This window comes from Homo sapiens, chromosome 5 (assembly GCF_000001405.40).
Source record: "Homo sapiens chromosome 5, GRCh38.p14 Primary Assembly".
Lineage (NCBI taxonomy): Eukaryota > Metazoa > Chordata > Mammalia > Primates > Hominidae > Homo > Homo sapiens.
In genome coordinates, this window is record NC_000005.10 from 73,552,190 (window position 1) to 73,572,829 (window position 20,640).

The following is a 20,640-nucleotide window of genomic DNA, read 5'->3' on the forward strand; positions in this document are numbered from 1 at the left end:
TTTGTTGATTGACTTAGATTCAGTTTATTTTAATTACATATATTGTTTGATCTAATGAAGTGTTACGGCAGGACAGAAGGGTGAAATTAAAAATCTGAAAGAAATCTTTAATAATCTTATATACTTAAAAAAGTAGTATGCAAACTGACAGAAGAAGTATTTTATTTATTTATAATATCATTTTGTAAACAATCACACTGTGCACTTTTTTATTCAACAATAAGAACAATTTTTTTCTAGGGATTTATAGCAAACCCTATATAAAGTGAATGACTTAATACACGAGTGAAGATGACTAGGGTAGAATAATTTCTGAAAATGTCAAATTACAGCACTTGATACAAAGACTGATGATAACTATCTGTACCATAAAAATTTACATGCCACGAAAACATTAATTTATAATTTTAAATATACAGTAAAACATAGTTATAAAAAGAGTATTACATTTATTATAAACCAGTGAATTACTCAGAGAAATATTTATTAAAACCTACTAAAAACCAGTAAATATTGCAACTGAGGTAAAAATTTATAAGTAAACAAAACTATCATTTATAAGGACCAAGAAGTAAACAAAAGGGCAGACATTTTCTGATGACTGTGTCTACTCCTTGATATTTTGAAGCAGCTTCAACAAATGTGACTCAATAACCTGTTGAACTAGAACAGATAGGTAATCAAGATTACAGCACAGTGACTATAAAATTTCTTTTAAAACTATCAAATTTAACTTATCCCCAATATTTTCCTAAAATAAAGTTATTTCTAAGCAGGATACATACATAGCCTGAGGGCAATAATACAATGCAATACTTTAAAAAACTTGAAACTTAGTCTGTCACTGAGTAACTGTCCAAGTTACTGGACGTTGTGTCTTTGTTTCTTTATTTTTGAAACTCAAGGAGAGTCCAGAATACAAGGTTATCCTAAGGTTGCCCTATAAATAGTTTGCTATCAAAATATGAAATAAATCTTATAAACAGGTATGCACTTATCCTCCAGTAACCAATTATTTGGGTTGGTGAAAAGTATAGTAACAAACTCATTTCTAGACTTTATAGGAATTTGTGGACTTTTCCCAAAGTTAAAAGTATATGTCAGGAGTTGGGATAACATGTTTTAGGATTACAGTGATAAAGATGGTTTGGAGTACTGGCTTATACTATTTACAGAGCTTTACTAAGATGAGACACAGGAGTTCTAACATACTTACCACTTCTATAGCCTAGGGCTACAGCTAGATCCATAGAATTATATCCAGAGTCAGTTTCAATTGTTGGATCAGCCCCACTTTCTATACCAAAATAGAAAAACTACATAAATGAAATGAAAATGCAGATATGTTTGTCTGTTATTGGCTCATGTACAAATAGCTGGAGAGATTTTTCAGTTTGGAGAATGTTTTAGGATAGTCTGACAAAGTACAGAGTGCATGGGGTACTTAGAATTTACTTTAGTGGATTGGAGGGAAGACACTTCAAACAAACAGCATCCTTTAGAGCAGCTGAAACTCATACACAATTAAAGATAAAGCTCACGCATAAAGACACTGTAGAAAGAGTACAATAGTGAATTCATTTTCTTTTCTTCTTTTTTTTTTTTGACAGAGCCTTGCTCTGTCACCCAGGCTGGAATGCAGAGGCGCAGTCTCGGCTCATTGCAACCTCTGCCCCTGGGGTTCAAGCGATTCTCCTGCCTTAGCATCCTGAGTAGCTCGGATTACAGGCGCCCACCTGCCTGGCTAATTTTTGTATTTTCTGTAGAGACGGGGTTTCGCCATGTTGGCCAGGCTGGTTTGAACTCCTGATCTCAAGTGATCCACCCACCTCGGCCTCCCAAAGTGCTGGGATTACAGGCTTGAGCCACTGTGCCTGGCCACATAGTGGATTCACATGTGACCCCCCAAATGAAAGCAACAAGGATAAAAGGTCCAATTGCAGGTGTGGTATGTGATGGAGCTGCTTCTCACATGGGCAACTTTTGGTGGCAGGTGCTCTAAGGGTGAAGAGCAGCAAGATTCATGTATTTAACAATAGTTAATGATTCTCCTGAGTAGTACCAGGGGAGGCCAGGTCGAAAAAATAAAATCAAGTCCTCACATGGCATTTTCTAAATTTTTATCTGCTTACCTAAGAGCATCTTTACACATTTCACATGATTTCCATGTACAGCATAAAGCAGAGGTGTTCCTCCATTCTGCAAAATGAAAAGGTGATTCAGAGTTTTTCACGGTGAGCAAGACTCAAGTAATTTAATGCTGCTGTAAGAAGTTTTACTAGAATTAGACATATAATCATTTAAAGTAATTTTAATATTTTGTGAAGGATACTTAAATCAGAACTAATAATTGAGTCTATGATATTAACTTTTTCTTCTATGTAGCTAATTAATTATTCTTCTTTATTTATTCTTTTATTTATTTTTTAGAAACAGGGTCTCACTCTGTCACCCAGGCTGGAGTACAGTGGTGCAATCACAGCTCACTGCAGCCTCAAACTTCTGGGCTCAAGCTATCCTCCCGCTTCAGCCTCCCAAGTGGCTGGGACTACAGGTGTACACCACGATGCTCAGTCTATTTCTTCTTTAATAAAACTTACTGCATCTCTCCCAAACCAAATAAATTCTAAAACTTGCTAGAGTCATTTTAAATTTAGTATTACAAACTTACCCAATCATATTCATTTACATCAACTCCACAATCAAGCAGCATTTTGACAATATCTGTGTAGCCTTTACTACAGGCCAACGACAGTGCACTTTCTCGACCTTTTCCTAAAAGTTGGGGATCAGCACCCTGGTATGGGAAGTAGAGATAAAAGACTTCTCAATTAGTTTAAACAAGAATATTGTTATTCCTGTCAACAATAATTATAGTTCAACACTAGGCCTGGTAATGTTCTGGGCTTAATAAAGAAATAATGGAAACTTTTACTCATGGATGCTTTTATTGAGATTGCCTGGATGCCTTCCTTCCTCCGTCCTGTATCAATCCTAATTATCCTTTCACTCTGGAGTCAAGTCACAGCTCCTCCATGAAGCCTTCTCCTTCAAAGCTGACAGTACTTCTGTTCCCGTGGGATGTAGAGGGGTCTGGGCGTTAAATTATTTCTCACTGTTGCATGTATGATTAGTCTTGCCTTCCCAACTAGATCCAAGTTCCACAAGAATATGAAAAGCATTAAACTTTTTTTGGTAGCCTCTACCATTATATCTAGCTGGCTGGATATATAAAAACTCTACTAAAGACTTAACTTAAGTAACTATACATATACATTTTCTGAGGCATTTTCCTTACATTCTGAAGTAGGAACTCTACCACAGCTATTTGCCCGTGTGCTGCAGCCCACATCAGAGGAGTAAATCCTTCTTCATCCGTGTGATTGATAACATTTTCTATTTAAAAGAAAAGCAATTTTTGTGATCTAATTTAACAACCATATCTTAATATCACTATGAAAAACTGGCATTCCAAAGAGCTGATTATAATACTCAGTAAAGTTCACTTTGTGCTGACTTTATGTTGGTGTCCTATTTATTGCATGTTGTTGTAATTTGTAGTCTGAGTGTATTAAAATATGCCTCAATGTACATAGCCGGGTTCAGATAGCATATTACTTAAAGTATAAACTACCAGACATGACATAATGTCGGGTACAAGGCAGTCAAGAGAACACTGGTCTCAGAATCAGGAGACCACAGTTTGAATCCTGGCTCTGTCACTTTCCAGCCATGTGACCCTGGGCAAGACACTTAATTTCTTCAATATACAGAATTCCTTGCTTACATCAACGTACAGTTGGGAGGATCATAATAAAAGTGAGATTATATGATAGCCCTCAGAATTACAGAAATATATAAACTTATTGAATCTTATTGAAGCTATCTTCTACTCCATAGCTAACATTGCTGCCTGTGAATTTCTCTCATTCTTGTGGTTTGCTAACATAATGTTATGTGGATGACAGATAATATAATGTGAATGAATAGTCTGAAATACAGTACCATGCAATTCTACCTTGAACCCCATTTTCTTCCCTAGATTGTCTACTAGTTATTAAGTCCACAGCCTTTTCCCTAAATTTATTTAGTAGATTGAAGAAGCCTCCAAATATTCATAAACAAACAGAAATATAAGATTCTTTCTTATAAAAATGACAAGATTAAGCAAAATAAAACTCTTTGATCAGACTCCCTGTATTCAATAAACAGTTTTGGGACAACTGGCTAACTTTTTAAAGCATGAAAATAAAAATACAGCTCAATCTTTACTTCATTACAACAAAACATATTCCATATGAGTTAAATATTGAAATGTAAAAAGGAAAGCCCAGAAGTTCTAGAATAAGGAATGAGTGAATTTATTTATAATCTTGAAATGGGAAATCCTTTCTAAGCAAGATATACAATCCAGAAGTCACAAAGAAGAAAATAAATTTATGACTTACAGATGTTATGCTTTCAGAACTTCATAAAGGAAGTCAAAGGAAAAATGACAAGCTGGGGAACAATATATGCAACATAAACAACAACAAGAAAAAAAGCTAATTTCCTTAATTTAGAGTTTACATACTAATATATAGCAGGTAGGTCACACGCAAAAAATTCCAGTAGACCATAACTTAAAAAATGTAAATGAAACTACTCTGAGATGCCATTTTTCACACGTCAGATTAGCAAAATTTGGAATCTGCTAATATCCTGTATCAGTGAGGGCGTGGGGAAACAGAAACTCTAGCTCTTGTGTGAGGACACACATCTGGTTATATATATAAAATATATATTTACATATATAAAAAAATACATATATATATATATACACCCTTTGACCCAGCAAATCTACTTGTGGGAATCTGCCCTATAGATATACTTTTAAGTTTTAAGTTTAAACTTAAAACTTAAGGGGGGCAGTTAAAAAAAAAAATAACATAGAACACGTACATGCAATACAATGCACACTTATGGAACTATGAAAAGAATAAAATAGGTCTTTAATACGTGCTTATATGGAAAGCTCTCCACAGTATTCAGTGTAAAACGGTGCAATGTAGTGTATATTTTCCCTTTTGTGTAAATAACAAGCACATATACATTCTCACACATAATCCGAAACATAAATAGAAATGTTTTCAAAAAAATTTACTGAAAATGTAAGAAACTTATAACGTTTGCTTTTGGGGAAAAGGCAACGGTGGTAAAGGAACTTTTACGCTTTATATTCCTTTTTTTTTTTTTTTTTTTTTTACTATCCATTGGGTTATCTGCCTGGTGAGTTTATGTAACTATTTGTTTTTGTCTTTAGGACTTTCTTATATTAAAATAAAACAATAACAAATCTAATAAATCCTATTGAATTTGTTTAAATATTTTTAAATAGGCTATTACCTTGTTCGATACGAGTAGCCAGATAGAGCATCTCTCCCTGAGCAGCCAACTGGTGAACAGACAAAGCTGAAAGAGTATCATAAAATGCTTCATGAATTATCTATAGGGTACACTTGCATCATCCCATGGTTCATGTTTGTGTCACCAATTTTCTTTTCCAAAACAAAAACTACAATTTTATTGTTTTAAAAATATAACTTAAAATGTATCCTAAAATTAAGGCTGGGCGCAGTGGCTCATGCCCGTAATCCCAGCACTTTGGGAGGCAGAGGCAGGTGGATCACTTGAGGTCAGGAGTTCGAGACCAGCCTGGCCAACGTGGCAAAACCCTGTCTCTACAAAAAATACAAAAATTAGCTGGGCATGGTGGCATGTGCCTGTAATCCCAGCTACTTGGGAGGCTGAGGCTGGGGAATCACTTGAATCAGGGAGGCAGAGGTTGCAGTGAACTGAGATTGTGCCACTGCACTCCAGTCTGGGTGACAGAAAAAAAAAAAGTACCCTAAAATTACAAGTACTCATTCTGTATCTGAGAATTGATTCATATTTATTTAAGGTAATTCTGATATCTACAATTTTATTTTTATGAGACAGGGTTTCGTCATGTTGTTCTGGCTGGCCTTGAACTCCAGGGCTCAAGCAGATCCTCCCACCTTGACCTCCCACAGTGCTGGGATTACAGGCATGAGCCACCATGCCTCAGCCTTTTTTAAAAATCTACAAATTGGTATTATCAATGAAATCTATTCTGAAGAAACGGCTTAGATATTTAATTTTTAAAATGCTATTTCTGCATCCAAACTTATCAGGAAGATGGGTCTTAAGACATGAAGACACTCTTTTGTCTTTTTATTGACTGACCCCATTGTGGTCTTAAATATTTTTATTTCGAGATTCTATGGGGTTTTCTTTTTACAAGGAATGAAGTCACAAATGAAAAACTGGCCTTGAGAGTAAATTTATTTATTTATTTATTTTGAGACAGGGTCTCGCTTTATCACCCAGGCTTGAGTGCAGTGGTGTGATCTCAGCTCACTGCAGCCTCAACCTTCTGGGCTCAAGTGATCCTCCTGCCTCAGTGCCCCAAATAGCTGGAACTATACAGGTGGGTGCCACCACATCCAGATAATTTTCATATTTTTTGTAGAGACAGGGTTTTGCCATGTTGCCCAGGTCTTCAACTCCTGAGCTCAAGTGATCCGCCAGCCTCAGCCTCCCAAAGTGCTAGGATTATAGGCATGAGCCACTGCGCCTGGCCTGAGAATAAATTCTTGAGTGTAGGCCTAGCTGTGGCTAATTAGCTGTGTGATGTTGGATAAGTTTAAACATTTTTGTCTGTAACATGAGATGTAAATCAAATGATCTTAGGTGTTTGTTTTTAGCTCAAAAATTCTATGGTGGATTATTTTAAGACAACTTCTTTAAAGACAATGCCAAATAGGGAGAGTTCTCCTTAAAAATTAGTAGCATTTGATCATTGACTTCAATGATACGATTGGATGGCCTTACTACAGAAGGAAAAGCAATTGGTGTCCTATGCAAATTTATATAAGTAAACCAGAAATGGCCTACAGGTGGGATGAGAGTCCTACAGGAAGATTCTTCCTAGCTCAGTTGGTACAGTATGTGACTCAGAAATCAGGAGGGATTTAGTGTTTCCAAAGAAAAAACAGATTTTGTCATGCTTTAGAATATAGATATATTTATCTTACATTCTCAAATACAGTGACTAACAGAAATACAGTTAAATACTAACACAAATACAGTTGCTGTTTTTCTTTTTTTTAACATACTTATACTATATAGAATATTTTTGTATTTTAAATAGAAAAACTTCCTCTACAATGATTCTACTTTAAAAAAATTGTGGATTCAAGGTGTTAAAATAGGTGATTTCATATTCATATTATATTCAAATTCAAAATTACAGTGCAAATCACTCAGCTTTTACTACAAAATCATTTATTGATCAGTGATCTGGTTTATAAGTAAAATGTGAAGCCTTGAACTCTAAGAAGATGAAAATACAGTGTCTTAATTTCAAAGGGCTCAGAATTATTATTTTTAATCTCTATTTATTATTTATTAACTCACTATTTTTACAGTAAAACTTTTAAGTTTTCATAATTAATATTTTAATCTGTATTTGCTCTCAACAGAGAAATATAACACATGAACTATTTATTTATTATTGATTGATTGGAATCATGGTCTCACTCTGTTGCTCAGGCTGGGGTACAGTGGCATGATCACAGCTCACTGCAGCCTTGACCTCCTGGGCTCAAGTGATCCTCCTGCCTTAGCTTCTTGAGTATGTGGGACTACAGGTGTTTGCCACCACACCTAGCTAATTAAAAAAAATTTTTTTTGGTAGAGATGGGATCTTGTTATGTTGCTCAGGCTGGTCTTGAACTCCTGAACTCAAGTAATCCTCCTACCTCAGCATCCCAAAGTGCTGGGATTACAGGTGTGACACGCCGTGTCTAGCCCCACATGAAATATTTAAAAATGCAAGAATATATGAAAAAGTTTACAACTGCTAAAACTACTAGGACATCACTTAAGCTTTCAAAAAAGTTACGTATAATGCATTTATTTATTTTTAATTGACAAATAATAATTGTGTATATCTATGGAGTACAAAGGGGTATTTTAATATATGTTTACATTATGGAATGATTAAAGCCAATTCACAAATCTATCACCTCACATACTTATTTTTTCGTGGTGTAAACATTTAAAATTTACTCTTTTAGCAATTTTGAAAAATACAATGCATTATTATTTTTTATTTTTATTTTTTTGAGACAGGGTCTCACTCTGTCACCCAGGCTGGAGTGCAATGGTGCTATTTCAGCTCATTGCAACCTGCTCCTCCCAGATTCAAGTGATCCTCTCACCTCAGCCTCCCAAGTAGTTGGGAACACAGGCATGCACCACCACGCCTGGCTATTTTTTGAAATTTTTTTATTTTTTATTTTTTGCATTTTTAGTAGAGACAGGGTCTTGCTATGTTGCCCTGGCCAGTCTCGAATTCCTGAGCTCAAGTGACACACCAGCCTCGGACTCCCAAAGTGTTGGGATTACAGGTGTGAGCCACCATGCCCAGCCTTCAGTGCATTATATTTATTATAGTCACCATTGTGTACAACAGGTCATTAAGTAGTCCTCCTGTCTAGCTAAAACTTTGTATCCTTTGATCAGTATCTCTACCTTTTCAGCATCTACTCCCCTCTCCCAGCCTCTGGTAAACACCAGTCCACTGTGTACTTCCACTGAGTTCTACTTTTACAGATGTCTCATATAGTGAGATCGTGTGGTATTTGTCTTTCTATGCCTGACTTATTTCACTTAGCATAATGTCCTGCAGGTTCATCCATGTGTCACCAAGTGACAGAATTTCCTTCTTTTTTAAGGTTGAATAGTATTCCATTGTGTAGTATAACACATTTTCTTTATCCAGAAAATATGCATTTAATGAAATAATGTTTTAAAGTCAAACTCTTGAAAGTATTACATTAAGAATATAGTAATACATCAGTGGCAAATACTTACAATTTGCTAACAGAGGTGTGGTAGAGACCTCATTTCCTCTGTGTTTGTTGGTTAAAGTGGTTGACTGTTTTATGGGTGAGAAATGCTTTGTTGTAGAGGGGGTGTAGACATGCCTTACTTGAATTCCCGGAGAAGGAGATGTATGGATATTGCATTCAGCTAAGTGAAAAACAAATGTAAACACATTAAAAGCATTTCAGTAAGAGTTCTATGTCAATGTCTACATTTGAAAAGAAATACATGAGGTGTAATAGCTTCAATTAAACTATTTATCAAGTGATACTAAATTGTTTTTATCATTAAAGTCCATACTTCCTTGTTTGCATAATGGTTAGTCAAAAAAAAAAAAAGTCTAGGCTGGGCATGGTGCTCACGCCTGTAACCCCAGCACTTTGGGAGGCCAAGGCAGGTGGATCACCTGAGGTCAGGAGTTCAAGACCAGCCTGGCCAACATGGTGAAACCCCATCTCTACTAAAAATACAAAAAATTAGCCGGGCTTGGTGGCAAACGCCTGTAATCCCAGCTACTCGGGAGGCTGAGGCAGGAGAATTGCTTGAACCCAGAAGGCGGAGGTTGCAGTGAGCCAAGATCTCGCCACTGCACTCCAGCCTGGGTGACAGAGAGAGGCTCTGGCTCAAAGAAAAAAAAAAGTCTACATAACCATAGTGAAAGTTCTGGAAGAAAATATATTAATCTTGGGTGATGTTATCCTAAGAGAATAGTTTTATTATTCAGGGTATCATTATAAAAGCAAATCTAGAGCATGATGACAGACTTCACTGCATTAAAGCACAGAAAGTAAATGCATATTAAATATTCATAGAACAGGAATATTCAGGAATGGATATTACGCTAATTCATCTCTAAAAGGAACATGATTTTTTTTCTTATGATTTTATTTTTTGAGACAGAGTCTCACTCTGTCACCCAGGCTGGAGTACAGTGGCACAGTCTTAGCTCACTGCAACCACAGCCTCTGTGGTTCAAGCAATTCTTGTACCTCAGCCTCCCAAGTAGCTGGGATTACAGGTGGACGCCACCATACCCGGCTAATTTTTGTATTTTTAGTAGAGACGAGGTCTCATCATGTTGGCCAGGCTGGTCTTGAACTCCTGACCTCAAGTGATCTGTCCACCTCGGCCTCCCAAAGTGCTGGGATTACAGGCATGAGCCACTGTGCCTGGCCCTATGATTTTAAAAGGAATAATAGGGAACTTCATTAGGGAATTTGTAAACAAATATTAAACAAGAAGTTTTTAAAAAAATCAACATGTACTTCCTTTAAATTAGATATTATATAATCTGAAATTATTTTAATTTTGGTTTCTATGAGATTCCAGAAAATCATATTAAAAAATGACTTCTAAACTGTCTTCCCAAACTCAAAATCTCATGATTGGGAAAATAACCCAAATATACAAAAACAAAAACAAATGCAGATATTTATACCATAACTTTCAACCTTTAAATAGGACAGATGCCACCTCCAGGTCAGAGTTAACCTGATCTTGAATATTTTTACTATCTTCTTCATTTAAGGACTTCACAAATCGAGAACACACATTCATATCAAATCGGTTAGGCAATATGAATTTCATTCCCATGGCAACACCCTGAGCTGACCCTTCTTCTGAATTTGGGTCCAGTGGATGTTCTATTTTAATGTCTGGCATGCCAGTTAGGCTATAAGTGCTGGGACACTCTTCCACGATAAGCTGGGCTCCAATATCCAGATTTGTTGATGTATCCATGATTTCAACTGTAGTTTCAATAACTAAAACATTTCTTCATGATTTCCTCTTGGTTTTGTAAGAGCAGTATCCAGTGTGTTCTTGGAATCTGGATATTTAAAAATCTGAAAGAAAAAATTAGAAAATTAAAAGTATTCTATCAGCTTAGGTAAAAACACACAAAATAATCATTTTCAATCAAGTATTGTAACAATGCTCTTGAAAGCACCTACACATAATAGAAAGAATATAATGTTCAGAGGTAGAGAAACCTGGGTATGAATCCAAACTTTGCCATTAATTAGCTGTGTGACCTGTAGAAGTTACTCAATCCCTCTGAGCTTCCGTGTCATTTATAAAATAGGGATATCACCATTAACCTTATAGGGTTCTGGTAAAGACCAAATGAAATACTGTACAGTGATATTCTCACCTCCATCATTAAATTCCAATACATTTTAGTTACTGTTTCTCCCATTTCCTATATCTGAATATCACCAAATGGATAAAAGATCAGGCTAACAATGAAAATAAACTTTAATCTCTTACCTAAGGTTAGTTCTTTAATATGCTATGTTTATATAGGTGGCCCTTAGTTTGAATTTAAGAAATGATAATTCATGTTGTATCCAAGTTTATTGGCATTGTCATCTATAACACCTGTGATTCCTAGACCATGAAAGGCTTTACAAAGCTTTGGTTTTGATGAACTGAAGGTACATTTATGAATTTTTGTTCCGATTAAGCATTAGCAACTTAATGTAGGTTTTCATGAAAAATAAAGTAGGTAGATTATGGATTGGCTTTCCAAGATGTATAGTTGTCTTAGATACATTATCATTTGGGACAGAAAGGAAATTAATAACATCCAGTTAATTTTTTCATGTTAGGGTTAATTGCCTCTTAGGAATTTTGAGAGGGTGCAGGGTGTTTCAAAATTGGAATTGGAATTAAAAGAAAAATGCATTAGGATCGCAGTGGAGCAAGGGTCGCGAAACCATACATTTACAGATAACCACCTTCTACAATTTTAAAAACATTTTCAAAGATTAGTCTTTATAACAATCCTTTGAGTAGGCAGGTCAGGTAATCATATGTCCACCTAGGAGGGGTAAAAAAGGAAGCTCATGAATTATGAGGGCTTACTCAGCTCTTCTGACTCCATCACTCTGACCATTAAAATGAGGCAGCCCTAAACAAAGCCAAAATCTCCACGAGAGAGTTGAATAAATAACACATAGTATAGTAAGGAAAAAAAAAAAAAGCAGGAAGTAAGAAGGTTAATACATTTGGGCAAAAAGAAGGAAACCAGAAAAGAAAATTAGTTCAGTGATTCAAAGGGAGATGGATGTGCAATGCATTAGTCCATGCGTCTTAAAAGGGACTGGACAATGTGAACTGTGTTTCCTGAGGGAAGAACCATCTCCCCCTTTCTCCTATCCAGCGGTTGGCTAAGTGCAACTCCCCTAAGCTCTCTGAGCACCCTGCATGTATCTGTATTTTAGCATTCACCATCCTTTTGACAATTTCCATTTAAATAACAGCTAAATTGAAAACTCCCCTAGGATGGGGACCACTCTTACTAATTTTTGCACACAGAACAGTACTTGGTCCTACCAGGTGCTCCATAAATGTTTTCTGATCTTAACTTTAACAATTTTTTCCATATTCTTTTCTATTTCTAACATTTGCTGATTAGACCTGGCTTTCCACTCCCAACATCGCTACTAACTAGCTGGCCACTCCTGGACAAATAAATAATACAAGTTTTCTGAAATTCATCTATTATAAAAAGGTGTTGAAATAGGCCTTTCTAATATTCTTTCCAGCTCTAAACAGCTTCCATGTTACAAATCAGGGTTTATAGATGGAATTACAGGTCTTCGAGAGGAGAATAGCAAATGTGCTTAGGCGAAGGGGGTGGGTGGAAAATGAACGCTTATCTTGGCACAGCAGTTTAACGAGAGGAGAAGCAAAGTTGATTGGTAGGCCAAAATTTTGAAGAACAGGAGAGGGAGGCGGGGGTGAGGGGAGTGGGGTAACAGGACTTAGAAGAGGTGGTGGTGAGAAAAAGGGGGTAAGGCAATCGATAGCTAGGTTCACCTCGATCTGTCAGAGCCCAGGGATGAAGGGATAGAGAGTCTACGGAGATAAAGTGGGCAGCTATGCTAGTTCCTGTGGATGCTAATAACAGGAGCCCCTCGTTTCTTCCTGATCCTGGAATTATTCTACAAGGAGAGGAAGGTGCTATGAAAATAAATGATGCCTCACAGGCGACAGGTGTCCCAGCGTCCCGAGACAGGAGCCCGCTGTCTCCCGCTGGAGGGGAGACTCTTGCAGGAAAGAAAGTCCGTTCTGTCGCCACCGGCCAGCTGTGCCCGAAAAGTCCCAGGAAGAAACTCTCGCTCATCCGCGGCGAGCGGATCCCGGGCACAGGGGCTGGAGGCCGACCCGGTGAGAGTGCAAGGTCTCGCGACCACCGACGACAGCAGACAGCGAGTCGGGCCTTCCCATCTGAGGCCAGCTTCAGTACAGGCCTCCAAGCCCGGGCTTGTTTTGGCCGCGACGTCACTTCCGATTTCTTCTTTCGCCTTCTGGCTAAAAAACGTTCCGCAGCAATGCAGCTGAAACTTTCGGGTTTTCTTTTTTTTGTCCCTCTCTCCTTTTTTTTAATATTTTTGTTTTTGCCGCCTTTACGCTCCGAGGCCCATCCTGCCGGAGTACTACACAGACAGGGTCATTTCAGTTGACGGTTCTGGGTCACCAGAGCAGAGGAAGCCCCAATTTCGCCCTCCGGTCACACCTCCTACTCCAGATCGCCCCGCCCACCTGACCCGCCTCTGCGCCGCCGGGCTGCGTGAGTCTCATGAGCGTGCTCTGGTACGTCATCTTCGCGCGACGTTCGGTTCGCTGTGTGTGTCGCCGGCTCCTTGAGGGTCCATGTGATTTTTACGCCAGTGCTGCTGAACTGTGCAGGGTAGGGAGCTGGCACAGTCCGATTAATTGTCCTTGGGTCGAGGTGTCTCGTCGGACCCTTTGGGGCTCAGTGGAGGTAGGTGAAGGCGGCTCCCATTGAGGGAAGCCCACACTCACACCCGGCCTTCCTGTGTTAATCTGGCATGCTCTTCTGGGGCTTCCCAGGCTATATAGGAGAGTGGCCAAATTCTTTAACCGGCTCAAGTTCCCCTCAATTAAGCTTCGACCTAGGTTCTTCTCTGCGATTACACCCTTTCCTGTCCACCGTTGTTAGTTCCCGGAGTAATCAGCAACTCTCCAAGGCAATGGACACATTTCCATCTTTGCCTTTGCTTACGAGGCTCCCTCAGGTGAAGTGAACCTAATGGAGTTTTAAAATATTTGGGAGATAAAATCAGCAGATCTTGTTAACTATTTGGATGTTAGGAGTGAGGAAGAAAAGGACACGTCAAGGCTGAGTCTAGGTTAATATCTGGTGCCAGTCACCAGCCAAAATGGAGTATATTGGAGTAAGCAAAGGCACAGACCATGTCTTTATTTCATTCACCATTATAGCCCCAGTGCCTAGAGCAGTGTCCTGCACATTGGTAGGTACTTTAATGAACAGAAGAGTGTTCCCAAAGACCAGTGAAATACAATCATTGGTCATTGTATTTCATTAAAGCACCTTTTAAATATATGTTACACCTATTTATCGTGGTGTTACTAATGTAAAGTTTTCAGGCTTTTTGGAATAGATGATGAGCAGCACCTCTGGAATCATTTACCTGATAACATTGAATCTCTTTTGCAATTGAGTCGTTCTGGAAAAATGTTTTGGCTTGATTGCATGTTATTTAAAAGTTTTATCCTATTCTGCCACTTTAGTGTTGAATTTAATTTCAGGACTGCTTTATTACAGTTTTCTTTCCTACTGTTTAAACCTTTTAAAGTAAATTTAATTTTAAGCTTCTACATTAGAATATTAGCTTTGTGTTTCTTACTTCTTGGCATTTTTAGGCTTTCAGGAAATCAAATCCGTAACTATAATTGTTATAGATTAAATGTCATCTTAAACTTGGTTTCAGGAAACTTGTATTTGCAGTTTCACCTTAATATTTCCTGTTGCCAAAAAATGGACACTCAAAGCCAGCATGATCCTTTTTGGTTTGGCTACTGTAAGGCTGTGCTAGATTTATTCCTAAGTGTTGTAAAATGGTTGGCTAGGTGTGAGAACCTTTGTGTACAGCTGAATAGATGGTGCGATATGATAGCCTTCACTTTAATTATTCCTGCTTCCTATAGATTGCCTTTTCTGGGTTAGAATTAAATGGCTTATTGGTCTCTAATCTATATACTTCCACACAGACTTTTTAAAGAAAGCAGAGTGAAAATCAACTATGTGTACAAGCTTATAATATGTATATAAAATATTTTATTTTTCAGAATTAAGGCAGAGTCACTGTAATTATTTCTAATACCAATTCCAAAATAGTGACTCTTGGACAATAGTGCAATTATATGGAATTATGGCTGGTTATAAGCCTGTAGCTATTCAGACATATCCTATACTTGGTGAAAAAATCACCCAAGATACACTGTACTGGAACAACTATAAGGTGAGTGTGGGACGTAATGAGGGAGAAGGGATTTGTGTTTATGCCAATTTCTCTAGCATATGTTATACTCTGGATGCTCTAACAGAGAATTATTAACTGAAAACCATCTATCAGCAGCTTATAGTTTGGGCAGATAATTTGATATCTATTTTTTCTTGGAATTTTATGTAAAAGTCCATACTGCTTAATCAGATTAACCATACAAATGCCTAGCACAGAACAGATGATCAATCAATGCCAAATGAATTAAATTTTAAAATTTGAATCTCATATGTGTAAAGATGTTTATTGAAGTATTGCTTGTAATAGTAGAAATCTTGAAAAACCCATGTCTATTAGTAGTGGACTGGTATAGTAAATTACAGTGTGCCCTTATAATGGATGGTAAGTCTATTGCTCCTATGAAAGCTAATATGTGTTACTAAGTGAAAAGAAGCAAGATGTGGAACAGCCTACATGGTATGATTATCTTTTTGTTATTTTAAAAGTACAAGTACGTGGTTATTGTATGCTGGTGTAGACATGATAACTTTTTTTTTCTGGTAGAAATCACAGTAAACTCAATAGCTGAAGAGACAGAGTGGGGTGTGGCTTTCTAACCATATGTTTATTTCAGTGGCAACAAGAATAGTCTGGGTGATGAGATATGTACCTTTTTTGCTTTCTTTGTAATTTTATGTTAAATACAACTTAAGAAATGTTACTAAGAACAAAGAGAAACGGTCTGTAAGAAATTATGTAATGCATAAATAGGTCTTACCAGTGGTAACTCTGTTAACACACTATTATTTTTTATTAAGACCCCTGTTCAGATTAAGGAATTTGGTGCAGTTTCAAAAGTAGACTTTTCTCCTCAGCCTCCATATAATTATGCTGTCACAGCTTCCTCAAGAGTAAGTATAATATTAAATTTCTTTATTTTTCTTTTGTATAGTTTACTACTGATCTTGAGCCATCTGGTGAAATACTGTTTTTCATCTTGTAGATTCACATTTATGGCCGATACTCCCAAGAACCTATAAAAACCTTTTCTCGATTTAAAGACACAGCATACTGTGCTACTTTTCGACAAGATGGTAGATTGCTTGTGGCTGGCAGTGAAGATGGTGGAGTTCAACTTTTTGATATAAGTGGGAGGGCTCCCCTCAGGCAGTTTGAAGGCCATACAAAGTAAGAGACAGTTGGTTTCTGTGTGTTCTGGTTTTATTTTGTTGTAAGCTCTTTTTTTCTCTGGACTTTGGTTAAAAAGATAGAGATCAGTTTTATGGAGATTATTTGCCTATAGGTACTATATTTCCTGATTGTTCTAAGAGTGCTTAACTTGGGTTCCGTGGTCCAGTTTCATGGGGCTTATGAATTCCCTAGAATTGTATGTGATATTTTAGGAAATACACGTTTATCTAGGGAGCTACTCTGTAGCTTTTGGTTAACTTTAGTGGGGTCTGTGGCCCAGCTGAGATTATGAATTACTGACCTGAAGACAACCTTACAGCTGGTAATGACAGCTCTATAGGCCTGTACTGTCTTAGAGGCTCTTATGTTGAAGTCAAGTAGGAAGGTGGATTTTCTTCTTGAATTTATAGTGTTTTGCCCCTTAATAAATTAAGTGGCCATCACAATTTTATATTATAACTTTGTTTTCAGGATTGCCAATGTCCGTGCTGAAATTTGTTAAAATTTAACAGAAATTTATGTAACATGATTCTATTTAGTGGTAAATCTCTTTAGAGTTTTTTAAAGAACTTTTTGAAATTTTAAAAATTAAAGTGCCTTTGCTTCCATATTCAGCAGCTAAGTGGAATTGTTTATATACTAGAAAATATAATTTTAAGGCTATCCTTTAATTTTTTTTAACTTTACAATATAGGAGTATTTACACTTCTTAATTGGTTTGGGGGCAAACACTTGTAAGTTTTCTCTTTCTTTCATGATTTCCCCCTATGAAGACTCCCTGAAACTCAGCTGCTTTTTTTTTAATCTGAGAAAAAGGAGCATTTTATGTTAGAAGGTATCAGAAAAATAATTTTCTTGCTTTTTAATATACTGACCTTCAATCTTTCAGAGCAGTTCATACAGTAGATTTTACAGCTGACAAATATCACGTGGTCTCTGGGGCTGATGATTATACAGTTAAATTATGGGATATTCCAAACTCCAAAGAAATTTTGACATTTAAAGAACACTCTGATTATGTGAGGTGTGGATGTGCTAGCAAACTTAATCCGGATCTCTTTATAACAGGTTGGTGAACTCTATTCCCTCCTGAAGCAAATAATCTCACGGGGATGTACTTTAATGTTGCTATGGGACTCTTTTGGGATGGAGGGGTTTAAATTTTTTTTATAAAGGAATATGTTTCTGATTAATTCTTCAGTTTTTAAATTAATTTTTATGTATGTATGTTTGCATTTATTTTCAGACAGGGTCTCACTCTGTTGCCCAGGCTGGAGTGCAGTGATGTGACCATAGCTCACTGCATCTGCTACCTCCTGGGCTCAAGTGATCCTCCCACATAAGCCTCCCAAGTAGCTGGGACTACAGGTGCCCACCACCACGTCCAGCTACTTTGTGTATTTTTTTGTAGAGACGGTTTTGCCATGTTGCCCAGGCTGGTCTCGAACTCCTGGGCTCAAGTGATCCACCTACCTCAATTTCCTCCCGGAGGACTGGGATTACAAGTGTGAGCCACCATGCCTGGCTTCCAATTGTTTTTTATTTTCTTATTCTTCTTTTGTTGATTGTTCATGTCTTCCAAATGTGTTTGGAAAAATCAGGCTGTCTTGAAAACATAATAGACTCTCAGAACTGTAATGTATAGTACCCTGCCTCAAGCAGCCAAGAAACAAAGAGTGCAGTTTAGCCTTTGTGGGTGCCTTTACAAAGATTTCCAGATGATTCAGTAGTGACAGTAGTCCAAAGAAAGAAATATTTTAAGATCAGAGCAAGTTAGATTCTGTATAGTATTATGTAGTGCTTCTTCAGACACGATCAGTAGTAGATGGTTTGGAGGTCCTGTGTCTTCATGAATATACATATATGTCTTTTTAAAACTCCATCTAAGCTTTTTTTCCTTTTAAAATTTATATCTGGATACACACAGTTTTTGTTGTTTTAAACAGTCAAACTAAAAATTCAAAAATTGACATTTTAGGATCATATGATCATACTGTGAAGATGTTTGATGCACGAACGAGTGAGAGTGTTCTCTCCGTTGAGCATGGGCAGCCAGTGGAGAGTGTCCTACTTTTCCCCTCTGGAGGTCTTCTGGTGTCAGCAGGTACTTCTTAAAAATAGCTTTCACCAATATTGTTGGTTTTGAATCACGTTTGTTTAAAATCAGTTGCTCTTTGTAATTTATCAGTGTGCATTTGAATTGCATATCTAAGTCTTTGTTCAAACAGTTGATAGGTAGGACTGGCAAGCAGTTATCATTTATTGTGTACCTAATGTGAGCCAGGCACTGTGCTGTTACATATGAACTCTAATGCCCTAGATGATGCTACAAGGTAGTTAGCTTTTTCCCTACTTTACAGCAATGAAATAAAAGTTTTAACTTATTTTTCAAGGCAAAGTGGTAAGTGGCAGATCTGAAATCACAGAACTCGAGAGCTCTGTGTATTTAGCCCTGTGCCATCTTATTTATTTAGCCCTGTGCCATCTTATTTAACCCCAGAAATTTAGCCCTGTGCCATCTTATTTAACCCCAGAAATTTAGCTCTTATGTATTTAGCCCTGTGCCATCTTATTTAACCCCAGAAATTTAGCTCATACTCCTTTTACTCCTACCTAAGAGATCTGCAGCAGCTTTTGAAAATCAGTTATTTGAGATCTAGTAGGCTTGTCTCTTTTTCTGTGACTCTCTTGATTGAAATGCCACTACCCAGCAAATAGCTGCTAGTACTAGAGAAAGGAGATAATGTGGCCTCAAAAGGGGCCTTGGTACATTTTTCAACAAGTTGGGACTGAGATGTTTTTCTCATTTTGCACATATTGCATTTTCATAATTACAGTGGAAGAAGTAAATTGGCTTTTTTCATTTGTAAATAAAGTAAAAATGTGTTCATATTAGAAGAATGTATAGGTAGTATGTATACTTGACAACATATATATTGCTGTGTGTACCTCCTTTTTTTTTTTTTCTTAATTCTAAAATCTGGCTAGAAATTACTCTGTTTTATATTCTTTTCCCCAGTACCTATTTGATTTAAAAATAAGTTGAGGCGGGATGTGGTTGCTCACGCCTGTAATCCTAGCACTTTGGGAGGCTGAGGCAGGCGGATAGCTTGAGTCCAGGAGTTTGAGACCAGCCTGGGCAACATAGCAAGACTCTAAGACTCCATCTTTAATTAAAAAAAGAAAAAAGTTGATAATGTCAGATGTGTCTACTTTTCTTGCTGTTATTCTGACAAATGGAAAAAATATCATGTTGAACAGGGAGAATAGAAAGCTGTGTGCTGATCTCCACTGTGTGTCACTAGCTAATTGTGACCTCGGGCAATCCCTTAAGGTCTCTAGACCTTGAAAATGAGAGGGTTGGACTAGATCAGTGATTTCAACTGTGATCCCTCTTGTGAGGTGCCACATAGGAGTGGAGAGGTGGGAACTGTGAGTTGGGTTCCAACTCCTGTTCCCCAGTCAAGATTTCAGTCTCCCCTTCCATCCCTTTTTCTGTCTTTCCATATTAGACTTTTTTGCTTGATATTTTGCTGCAGATCTACATTATTCACTTCCACTGCTATATAGAATTTCTTTTAAAAAATGATTTTATTATAATTTTCTTAAAATGGACTCTTTCAGTTATACATTTATTTTGCTGGAATTTATGTACACTTCACAAATATTATTTAATGGTCATAACAGTTCTGTGAGGTAGGAACTGTTATTACCAATGACCCAGGAAGTGGTGCATCCAGGATTTTACCAGGCAGCCTGGCCTGGACTCCCTCACTCAGCCTCCATGCTTTGTGGAGTGTCCAGAGAAGAATGCTTTTCAGATCTTTAATATGTTGAATCTGTGGGCAGAATATCCAACTAACGATGATTTCTTTTTATAGGAGGTCGTTATGTTAAAGTCTGGGACATGTTAAAAGGAGGACAATTGCTAGTATCTTTGAAAAATCATCACAAAACCGTGACATGTTTATGTCTAAGCAGCTCTGGACAGAGGTTACTCTCTGGCTCACTGGATAGGTTGGCATTTTAATTTTTTTGTATATTATTATTAGTGTACACCTGTTTACTGCTTGAGGAAATGAGTTATTTCAGCAATATTTGTGATAAGTATACAGATAATGATTTCCAGGAGAAAAAAACCTGTTGAGTTGAAAATAGTTTTGACCTTTTGTTTACATATAGCTACTTCTTTTCTTTTCTTTTTTTTTGAGACAGAGTCTCA

At 37.2% G+C, this 20,640-nt stretch overlaps 2 protein-coding genes across 8 annotated transcripts in view, besides 6 other annotated features; one reads left to right on the top strand and one right to left on the bottom strand.

The window, feature by feature from the left end:
* ANKRA2 (ankyrin repeat family A member 2) lies at positions 1–13,450 on the bottom strand. 4 transcript variants are annotated; one of them, NM_023039.5, is made up of 9 exons: positions 12,943–13,450; positions 10,404–10,796; positions 8,941–9,099; positions 5,386–5,451; positions 3,299–3,396; positions 2,672–2,797; positions 2,133–2,199; positions 1,217–1,297; positions 1–663 (listed from the first exon to the last, which is right to left on the bottom strand). In NM_023039.5, exons 2-9 carry the CDS (start codon positions 10,690–10,692, stop codon positions 608–610), a joined length of 942 nt encoding a protein of 313 aa, NP_075526.1. In that variant the 5' UTR covers positions 10,693–10,796; positions 12,943–13,450; the 3' UTR covers positions 1–607. The 4 variants fall into 4 exon arrangements, with proteins under 4 accessions (NP_075526.1, XP_005248617.1, XP_016865167.1 ...); XM_005248560.4 differs by having other exon boundaries at positions 10,391–10,796; XM_017009678.3 differs by lacking the exon at positions 12,943–13,450 and having other exon boundaries at positions 10,565–10,652.
* Positions 12,710–13,264: an enhancer, noted in NCBI's record as "H3K27ac hESC enhancer chr5:72860724-72861278 (GRCh37/hg19 assembly coordinates)". NCBI's record gives its function as "activates a minimal SCP1, AML or CMV promoter by ChIP-STARR-seq in naive H9 embryonic stem cells {active_cell/tissue: H9 hESC(naive)}" and the evidence as "EXISTENCE:reporter gene assay evidence [ECO:0000049][PMID:30033119]".
* Positions 12,710–13,819: a biological region, named in NCBI's record as "H3K27ac hESC enhancers GRCh37_chr5:72860724-72861278 and GRCh37_chr5:72861279-72861833".
* Positions 12,844–12,893: an enhancer, noted in NCBI's record as "active region_22659". NCBI's record gives its function as "activates an Ori minimal core promoter by ATAC-STARR-seq in GM12878 lymphoblastoid cells {active_cell/tissue: GM12878}" and the evidence as "EXISTENCE:reporter gene assay evidence [ECO:0000049][PMID:35858748]".
* Positions 12,914–13,123: an enhancer, noted in NCBI's record as "active region_22660". NCBI's record gives its function as "activates an Ori minimal core promoter by ATAC-STARR-seq in GM12878 lymphoblastoid cells {active_cell/tissue: GM12878}" and the evidence as "EXISTENCE:reporter gene assay evidence [ECO:0000049][PMID:35858748]".
* Positions 13,134–13,693: an enhancer, noted in NCBI's record as "active region_22661". NCBI's record gives its function as "activates an Ori minimal core promoter by ATAC-STARR-seq in GM12878 lymphoblastoid cells {active_cell/tissue: GM12878}" and the evidence as "EXISTENCE:reporter gene assay evidence [ECO:0000049][PMID:35858748]".
* Positions 13,265–13,819: an enhancer, noted in NCBI's record as "H3K27ac hESC enhancer chr5:72861279-72861833 (GRCh37/hg19 assembly coordinates)". NCBI's record gives its function as "activates a minimal SCP1, AML or CMV promoter by ChIP-STARR-seq in naive H9 embryonic stem cells {active_cell/tissue: H9 hESC(naive)}" and the evidence as "EXISTENCE:reporter gene assay evidence [ECO:0000049][PMID:30033119]".
* The window catches only part of UTP15 (UTP15 small subunit processome component), a 17,640-nt gene continuing 10,551 nt past the window's right edge, over positions 13,552–20,640 (top strand). Inside the window, exons 1-7 of one of the 4 annotated variants that reach the window (NM_001284430.1) lie at positions 13,552–13,723; positions 15,073–15,245; positions 16,103–16,138; positions 16,231–16,415; positions 17,308–17,486; positions 18,397–18,522; positions 20,300–20,435. In NM_001284430.1, coding sequence (NP_001271359.1) covers positions 15,156–15,245; positions 16,103–16,138; positions 16,231–16,415; positions 17,308–17,486; positions 18,397–18,522; positions 20,300–20,435 — 752 coding nt within the window. In that variant the 5' untranslated portion in view covers positions 13,552–13,723; positions 15,073–15,155. Of the gene's footprint in view, positions 13,998–15,072; positions 15,246–16,045; positions 16,139–16,230; positions 16,416–17,307; positions 17,487–18,396; positions 18,523–20,299; positions 20,436–20,640 lie in introns of all 4 variants that reach the window. The other 3 variants (XM_011543680.3, NM_032175.4, NM_001284431.1) reach the window with 3 other exon arrangements.

Coding starts and splice junctions, on each gene's coding strand:
- ANKRA2 (NM_023039.5), bottom strand. CDS start 10,692: ATGGATACATCAACAAATCTGGATATTGGAGCCCAGCTTATCGTGGAA. Junction 3,397..5,385: donor GGCTACTCGTATCGAACAAG/GTAATAGCCTAT, acceptor TCTTTTAAATAG/AAAATGTTATCAATCACACG. Junction 1,298..2,132: donor ATGTGTAAAGATGCTCTTAG/GTAAGCAGATAA, acceptor ATTTTGGTATAG/AAAGTGGGGCTGATCCAACA.